General features: G+C 43.2%; 1 annotated feature.

Moving 5' to 3' along the window:
- Positions 108 to 157: an enhancer, noted in NCBI's record as "active region_7828". NCBI's record gives its function as "activates an Ori minimal core promoter by ATAC-STARR-seq in GM12878 lymphoblastoid cells {active_cell/tissue: GM12878}" and the evidence as "EXISTENCE:reporter gene assay evidence [ECO:0000049][PMID:35858748]".

The raw sequence follows: 9,900 nt of genomic DNA on the forward strand, positions 1-9,900 counted from the left end.
AACTGTTCAAACCATGTTCCAATGAGGCAAACGCCAAGCTGTAAGCAGTCCAGCTGTTTCTGTACCTCACTTCTGTTTTCTGTACCTCACTTCTGTTTTCTGTAAGTCATTTTCCTTTTTCTGTCCATGAATCCTCTCCAACCACATGGCAGTGCCAGGGTCGCTCTGTATCTATTCTGGTTTAGGCGAACTGCCCGATTTGCAAATGGTTCTTTGCTCCATTAAATACTGTTAAATTTGTCTAAAGTTTTTATTTTAACACACCAATACACACTGATGGATCAGGGACAAAGTAAAGATAACACAAGTAAGAGTCCCATTTGGAAAGAGACTAATGGGGAGCTCAGCAGTCCTGGTCCACAGCAGTGTTGAAATGCTGCAAAGCAGGCATGGCGAAGACCTTCTGTCCAAGGTCACATAGCTAAGTCAATTTGTTCAGTCTTCAAAATGGATACACTTTCCACTCCTCTACATTATGTAAAGCAAGTTAGTAGGCTGATGAGCTGACTTTTATTATTATGTTATTAAATGTCTGGCTTTCTAAATAGATTACAAGCCTTGTGAAAATTTTCTTATTCAGTGCTGCATCCCAAGTGATTAGCAAAGTGTCTGGCACATAGGATATGTTCAATAAATATTTGTTGAATGAATGAATAACATAACCATTATAGTCCACTTGGCCATTAAATTTTTCAGTGTAAATTAGAAAACAGGAATTTTGAGTGATATATCAGTCTTCACTGAATTTGCTCAGGATGAATCATTTCTCTGGAGGAAGGATCGCTAGCCTGACTGAGTTTTTTGACTTACAAAGTTAAGCTCTAGATATTGGACTAGTTGATGCCCTGTGTTCTTTTCAATAATACCTACATCAGCAAAATGCATACATTCATAGGTTTTGTTGTATGTTTATTTGCTTGTTTTAACTTCAGAAGCACAGAATTGCACCCTGGATTAATCATCTAATCATGTTCCTTGGCTTGCTGCACACTTTCATCTTTCATCTAAACATCATTGGTCTATGCCCCTTTTTATTTTATGGATTTATTTAATGATATTAATAACACCACAAATTTATGACCCAACCTGACGGCTTGCACATTACCAGGAATTGACATCTACTATGGGCTCCTCTTCTGTCCTGCCCCTAACTTCTTCCCATCTTGTAGCTTGGAGGTAACCACTATTCTCCATTTTGTTTTTCAGTTCCTTAATTTATTTTTCAGTAAGTTTTCACATACACATATATTGCATACATTGTATTACTAAGATTCACTCATGGTGTTGTGTGTATTTTTATCTCACTGATTTTCCCTTCAGTACAGTGCTCCACTGTGAAAACCACGATTTCTTAGTTTTCCTGTGTATGGTCTTTTGGGCTGTTGTCAGTTTTTTGCAGTTGTGAACAGGAAGCTATGAACATTCTTGAAGATAAATGGGAAGAGCTTCAAGCAGTGGAATTGGTGAGTCATAGGACATAGATAATTCAACTTTATAAAATAAACCAAATAATTTTCCCAAGTGGTTATACCAATATATACTCCCTGCAGCAATATACAAGATACCATTGGTATTATCTAACTTCTTGTTTTCCTTTAAATTATATTTTGATTTGCCTGACAATGCCAATTCTCTATGGAAATGCCAAAATATCTTTTTGAATATATTTATCACATAATTTTAGAATGACCAAAAAAAAAAAAGAAAAGAAAAAAAGAAGACTGTAATGCCAAACAATTTTTATTTTGGGCTTGTAATAATGAATTTTACATTCCTATCTGAATATATGTAACATCATTTAAAAATGATTAACATTGATACAGTTAGAAGAATCTTATTATTATATAATTTCTTCTTTTTCTAATTTTTTTTCTCTCTTAGGGTGGACTAGAACCTCTAGGGAGCCTTTAGCAACCCACTAGTCTCTTCCACACTCATACAATACTCTACATACCTTTGTCTTAACACTTACAGCAGAAACTATTTGCCCTCCTGTGTTAGTCCATTTTCACACTGCTGACAAAGACATACCTTAGACTGGGTAATTTATAAAGAAAAAGAGGTTTAATGGACTCAGTTCCACATGGCTGGGGAGGCCTCACAATTATGGCAGAAGGTGAAAGGCACATCTTACATGGCAGGAAAGAGAGAAAATGAGAAAAGGGAAACCCCTTATAAAACCAACAGATCTCATGAGACTTATTTGCTACTATGAGAACAGCATGCGGGAAACCATCCCCGTGATTCAATTATCCCCACCAGGTCCTTCCACAACACATGGGAATTATGGAATTCAAGATGGGATTTGGGTGGGGACACAGCCAAATCATATCACCTCCAATATCTGTTCTTTCCTTCTTATGATTATGGAAGTTTTATTTAGGCACAGAGTTGCTAAGGTAAAACTGCCAGCTTTCCTTGCAGGTAGCTATGGCCATGTTACTAGGTCTGGACAATGGTATGTGAGCAGAAGTGATGGGGGAAACTTCTGGGTTAATGGCCCTAGAACATCACTTCTACTAGAAGTTGAATATGAATCCAGGAGTTGGAGCAATCATCCTGAATCTATTAAGGAAGCTGTACATTGAGAATAGTAGAGTTACAAGACAGAAGACTAGGCCCCTGATGTCTTCAAGTAGAGCAGCCAGCCTGGACATATAGAAATAAATTTGTCTTATTTAAACCATTTTGGGTTTACTACTACAGCAGCAGGACTGATATCCTAATACATAATTTGTACCTAAAAGTAAGATGATACTGTAATAAAACCTATAACAAGAGGCATTGGCACTCAGGCAACAGGTGATGAGCATATCGTAAGCTAACACTGGCGACTCTTATGCTTGGCCCAACATTTGGTGAAACCGTCACCATATGATGCCTTAAAATTTAGACCACATGTATGTAGAGCCTATAGCTCTATGGCAGTGTTTCTAAATATGTGTCATATTGGCATTTTGGGTAAAACAATTTTCTGTGGTTCAAGAATGCCCCGGGCATTTTAGGATGTTCAGCATTTTTGCTCGTAACCCATGAAATGCTAGTAGTAATCCTCAGTCAATATAACAACCAAAAACATCCCCATGTTCTTCCTAATGTCCCTTTTAAGAGCTGACCCTAGGTAAGAATTACTGCATTAGAAAAAGTAGCTAGAAAAAAATGTCAGAACATCGGTGTGCTTCTTCCCACTTCTGCCAAGGTCCTACAAGAAAGAGAAACTCAGTGCTATGGTTTGAATGTGTCCCCCAAAGTTCATGTGTTGGAAACTTAATCCCCAATGCAATAGTGTCTAGAGGCAGGACCTATAAAAGGTGATTAGGACCCAAGGGCTCTGCTTTCATGAATGAACTAATACTGTTATTGTGGGAGTGGGTTAGTTATTGTGAGAGTGGGAATCAGATGAAGGATGAGTTCAATCTCTCTCTCTCCCCCTCCCCCACCCTGCACAATTTTGCATATGTTTTGTTACCCTTCCACCTTCTGCCACTATGGGATAATGCATCAAGAAGACCCTCACCAAATACAGGCCCCTCAACCTTGGACTTTCCAGCTTCCAGAACTGTAAGAAATACACCTTTGCGGCCAGGCGCGGTGGCTCATGCCTGTAATCCCAGCACTTTCAGAGGCCGAGGCAGGCATATCACAAGGTCAGGAGATCAAGACTACGAAACTCTATCTCTACTAAAAATACCAAAAAAAAATTAGCTGACCTGCGATCGCGCCACTGCACTCCAGCCTGGGTGACAGAGCAAGACTCCATCAGAAAAAAAAAAAGAAAAAAGAAATACATCTTTGCTCTTTGTCAATTACCTCATCTCAAATAATCTGTAATTACCTCATCTCAAATAATCTGTAATAGCAACACAAAATGGACTAAGACACCCAGGCTAATTTTATAGAGGTGGACAGAATACAGCTTGGAAAATTAGGTTGGCTGGATGTAGAAACTGGATGGGAGCCCTCAATGACTTGCAAAGGAGAGCCACCATGTCAGCTTAGATACTTCAGTGAAAGAGAAATAAACTAGCCAGGCACAGTGGCTCATGCCTGTAATCCCAGGACGTTGGGAGGCCGAGGCGGGTGGATCACTTGAACTCAGGAGTTTGAGACCAGCCTAGGCAACATGGCAAAACCCCATCTCTACAGATAATAATAATAATAACAAGCCAGGTGTGGTAGTTCAGGCCTGTAGTCCCAACTTCTTAGGAGGCTGAAATGGGGAAATCACTTGAGTCTGGGAGGCAGAGGTTGCAGTGAGCCGAGATCACATCACTGCACTCAAGCCTGGGCAACAGAGCAAGATCCTGTCTCAAAAGAGAGAGAAATAAACTTACTGTATAAGCCTTATCAATGTCAGATCTCTCTTATATAAATTGAACCCATATGCTAAATAATAGAATACTTACCACCCTGATTTATAATCTTTGAGTAGATTTAAAGTGGTTTGAGGCCTGGAGACCTGCCATTTTTGTTTTTATTTTCAATATCTAGGACAGTGTTGGGTATTTTAAACATCTTTCTTGATCTGAGAAAGCAAAAATAAATTCTGAGCCAGACAGTGGAATATTATTCAACAGTAAAAAGAAATAAGCTATCAAGCCATGAAAAGACATGGAGGAAACTTAAATACAAACTACTAAGTGAAAGAAGCCAATCTGGAAAGGCTGCATGCTGTATAATTCCAACTATATGATATTCTGGAAAATGAGAAACTATGGAGACCGGAAAAAGATCAGTGGTTGCCAGGGGCTTATGGCCCTCCCAGTGATGACTAGGCAGAACACAGAAAATTCTTAGGACAGTGAGTCTACTCTGTGTGCTTTAATGGTGGATACATGTCATTACATACTTTTTCAAACCATAGAATATACAACACAAAGAGTGAATCCTAATGTGAGCTATGGACTCTGCATGACAATAATTTGTCAATGTAGGTTCACCAGTTGTAACGAATGTACCACTTTGGTAGTGAGAGGTGACAACGTGCTAGCAACCCTCGCTCACTCTCTGCGCCTGCTTGGCCTCCATGTCTGCTCTGGCCCCATTTGAGGAGCACTTTAGCCCGCCGCTGCACTGTGGGAGCCCCTGTCTGGGCTGGCCAAGGCCGGAGCCAGCTCCCTCTGCTTGCCAGCAGGTGTGGAGTGAGAGATGCGGGCGGGAACCGGGGCTGCACGTGGTGCTTGCGGGCTAGTGCAAGTTCCAGGTGGGCCCGGGCTCCGCGGACCCACACTCGGAGCGGCTGGGCGACACCACCAGCCCCAGGCAGTGAGGGGTTTAGCACCCGGGCCAGCAGCTGCGGAGGGTGCGCTGGGTCCCCCAGCACTGCTGGCCCGCCCGCGCCATGCTAGAATTCTTGCCAGGCCTCAGCCACCTCCCCGCAGGGCAGGGCTCCTGACCTGCAGCCCACCATTCCCAAGCCCCCCCATCCCCGGTGGGCTCCCCGACAGCCCCAGCCTCCCCAACGGGCACCACCCCCTGCTCCTGGCACCTGGTCCCACTGACTACCCAAGGGCTGAAGAGTGCAGGCACGCGGTGCGGGACTCAGGGGGCACGGCCCGGGGAGGGAGCCACTAGGAGAAGCCAGCTGGGATCCTGAGTAGGGTGGGGACCGGAGAATTTTATGTCTAGCTGGAGGATTGTATACATACCAATCAGCACTCTGTGTCTAGCTCAGGGTTTGTGGATGCACCAATTAGCACTCTGTATCTAGCTAATCTGGTGGGGACTTGGAGAACTTTTATGTCTAGCTGGAGGGTTGTAAATGCACCAATCAGCACTCTGTGTCTAGCTCAGGGTTTGTGGCTGCACCAATCAGAACTCTATATCTAGCTAATCTGGTGGGGACTTGGAGAACTTTTATGTCTAGCTAGAGGATTGTAAATGCACCAATTAACACTCTGTGTCTAGCTCAGGGATTGTAAACGCACCAATCAGCACTCTGTCAAAACGGACCAATCAGCTCTCTGTAAAACAGACCAATCAGCTTTCTGTAAAATGGACCAATCAGCAGGATGTGGGTAGGGCCAGATAAAGGAATAAAAAAAGCAGGCTGCCTGAGCTAGCGATGCCAACCTGCTCGAGTTTTCTTCCATGCTGTGGAAGCTTTGTTCTTTTGCCCTTTGCCATAAATGTTGCTGCTGCTCACTCTTTGAGTCCATGTGGCCTTTATGAGCTGTAACACTCACCACGAAGGTCTGTAGCTTCACTCCTGAAGCCAGCGAGACAACGAACCCACGGGAAGGAACAAACAACTCCAGATGTGCTGCCTTTAAGAACTAACACTCGGAGTGGGGGTCCACGGCTTCATTCTTGAAGTCAGCCAGACCAAGAACCCACCAATTCTGGACACAGTAGGGGATATTGGTAATGGGGGGTTGTGCATGTGTGTATGATGTAGGAGGGCAAATATATGGGAACTTTATACTCAATTTTGTGGTGAACCTAAAACTGCTCTAAAAAAATAGTCTATTACAATTTTTTTAAAAAAGTTAATCCTCAGATATAAATTACTGATTACATGAATTTGTACCATGACATTTGATATGGTTTGGATCTGTGTCCCTGCCCAAATCTCATATCAAATTATAATCCTCAGGGTTGGAGATGGGGCCTGGTGGGAGGTGACTGGATCCTGAGAGTGGATTTTCTCCTTTGGTGCTTTTCTCCTGATAGGATTCTCACAAGATCAGGTTGTTTATGTGTGGCATTTCCCACCTCTCTCTCTTCCTCTTGCACCTGGCTATGTGAAGTGCCAGCTTCCCTTTTGCCTTCCACCATGATTGTAAGTTTCCTGAGGCCTCCCCAGAAACTGAGGAGATGATGCGACCCTTTCTGTACAGCCTGTGGAACAATGAACCAATCAAACCTCTTCTTTATAAATTACCAAGTCTCAGGTAGTTCTTTATAGTAGTGTGAGAATGGACTAATACAAAAAATTGGTAGAAGGGAGGCATTGCTATAAAGATACCTGAAAACGTGGAAGTGGCTTTGGAACTGGACAGAAGCTGGAAGAGTGTGCTAGGCTCAGAAGAAGACAGGAAGATGAGGGAAAATTTGGAACTTCCTAGAGATTTGTTAAAATGTTGTAACCAAAATGGTGATAGTAATATGGACAATGAAGTCCAGGTTGAGGAGGTCTTGGATGAGATGAGGAACTTACTGGAAACTGGAGCAAAGGTCAGTTTTGTTATGCATTAGCAAAGCACCTGGCTGCATTGTGCCCCTGCCCTAGGGATCTGTGAAAATTTGAACTTGAGAATGATTTAGCCTACCTGGCAGAATAAATTTCTAAGCAGCAAAGTGTTCAAGAAGTAGCCTGGCTCCTTCTGGTACCTATGTTCATATGTGTGAGCAAAGAAATGATATGAAACTGGAACTTATATTTAAAGGGAAGCAGAGCATAAAAGTTTGGAAAATTTGCAGCCAAGCCATGTGATGGAAAAGAAAATCCCATATTCAGGGGAGGAATTCAATCAGCCTGCAGAAATTTGCATAACTAAAAGGAACACAAATGCTGATGGCCAAGACAAGGGGGAAAACACTTTGAAGGCATTTCAGAGAACTTTGTGGCAGCCTCTCCCATCACAGGCCTAAAGACCTAGGAGGGAAAAATGGTTTCCCGGGCCAGGCCCAGAGCCCAGTAGTGTGTGGCCTTAAAACACTGCTTTTTGCATTCCAGTCTTCAGCTCCAGCTGTGGGTTGAAGGGGCCCAGGTACAGTTCAGGCCACTGCTTCAGAAGGTGTAAGCCATAAGCCTAGGCAGCTTCCATGTCATGTTAAGCCTGTGGGTGCCCAGATTATGAGAGCTGAGGCTTGGGAGCCTCTGCCTAGATTTCAGAGAATGTATGGAATAGCCTGGATGTACAGGCAGAAGTCTACTGCAGGGGCAGAGCCCTCATGGAGAACCTCCACTAGGGTAGTGTGGAGGGGAAATGTGGGGCTGGAGCTACCACACAGAATTCTCACTGGGGCACTGCCTAGTGGAGTGAGATGAAGGCCACCATCCTCCAGACCCCAGAATGGTAGATCCACCAGCAGCTTGCACCCTGCACCTGGAAAAGATGCAGACACTCAATGTCAGGCCGTGAGAGCAGCCACAGGGGCTAAACCCTGCAAAGTCACAGGGTGGAGCTGTGCAAGGATTTGGGAGCCCACCTCTTGCATCAGTGTGCCCTAGATGTGAGACATAGAGTCAAAAGAGATTATTTTGGAGCTCTAAGATTTAATGACTGTCCTGATGGGTTTTGGACTTGCATGGGGCCTGTAGCCTCTTTCTTTTGGCCAATTTTTCCATGTGGGAATAGGAATGTTTACCCAATGCCCATATCTCCATTGCATCTTGGAAGTAACCAACTTGTTTTTGATTTTACAGGCTGATAGGGGAAAGGGACTATCCTTGTCTCAGCTGAGACACTGGACTCTGTACTTTTGAGTTAATGCTGGAATGAGTTATTAAGATTTTGAGGAACTATCAGGAAGACATGATTGGATTTTGGAATATGAGAAGGACTTGAGATTTGGGAGGGATTGTAGCAGAATGATATGGTTTGGATCTGTATCCCCACCCAAATCTTGAATTGTAATCCCCAGTGTTGGAGATGGGGCCTGGTGGGAGGTGATTGGATCAAGGAGGCAGATTTCCCTTCTTGGTGCTGTTCTCATGATGGTGAGTTTTCATGAAATCTGGCTGTTTAAAAGTGTGTGGCACCTTCCACCACCTCTCTCTCCTCTTCCTGCTCTCGGCCATGTGAAGTGCTCGCTTCCTCTTTGCCTCTCACTATAATTGTAAGTTTCCTGAGGCCTCCCCAGAAGCCGAGGAGAAGCTGCCATGCTTCCTACATAGCCTGCAGAACTGTGAGCCACTTAAACCTCTTTTCTTCATAAATTACACAGTCTCAGGTATTTCTTTATAGCAGTGCAAGAATGGACCAATACAACATTAAATGATGAATGCTTTATATGCATATAGGTGTCTTTCAAATGTAAGATTTTTTTTTTCCTTAGAACATGACCAGTAAGTCTAATATGAGCTGTGACTAGCCAACACTTGGTCTACTTTAAGGGCACTACATTGAATGCTTCAACAGGCTTGACGATGCAAAGGGAAATAGAGCATAGATGTTGTGGCTAAGTAATAATTTCTTAGTATGATGAGAATTGGGTGACCATATGTCCTGGTTTGTTCAGGGCAGTCCCAATTTGTATCTGTATTGTAGCATATTAATGATGTCCACTTTTATTTTCAAAAATATCCTGGTAAGAGTGGGTCCTCTCCCCATCCGTCCCACCCAGCTCAAAACAGTATGAAAGACAGCAAGCCCAAAATTCTGGGCTCCTCAAACTTAGATGATATCTGCCTCCTCATGAGTTAGTAAAACTGTCAACCTTCTGGCCTACCTTACCAAATAGATATATCCACTTTCTTGCATCTTTGATCTTATACATACAAACAGGGCATATACAAAATATTGTCCTGTTGGTTAGGTGATTCCATCGTAAACTAAAGTGAGAGCATTTACTGAGTCCAGGTCATCATTCTTACCAATCCTCAAACAAGGGCTTGGCTTTGTGGTCTAACGTATCTTGGTCTTGTCCTGTCACCCAGGCTGGACAATCATAGCTCACTGTAACCTCAAATGCTTAGCGATCCTCCTACCTCAGCCTCCCAAAGAATTGAGATTACAGGCATGAGCTACTGCACCCGGGTGACTTCTACGTTTTAATGCTCTCAAAATATAAAATATAGAGCAAACCTAGCATCCATATCTTGGTTTCTAAAACCATAGTTCAATTAAAACAACCAGAGCTCCTGAAAGTAATGGGATTCTAGGACTGTGGCAGGAAACATACAAGACGAAGTGTCTTGTAGTGTCAGAAAGTAAGAAAGTGTTCTCACACACA

Source organism: Homo sapiens, chromosome 13 (genome assembly GCF_000001405.40).
Source record: "Homo sapiens chromosome 13, GRCh38.p14 Primary Assembly".
In the NCBI taxonomy this organism is placed as follows: Eukaryota; Metazoa; Chordata; class Mammalia; order Primates; family Hominidae; genus Homo; species Homo sapiens.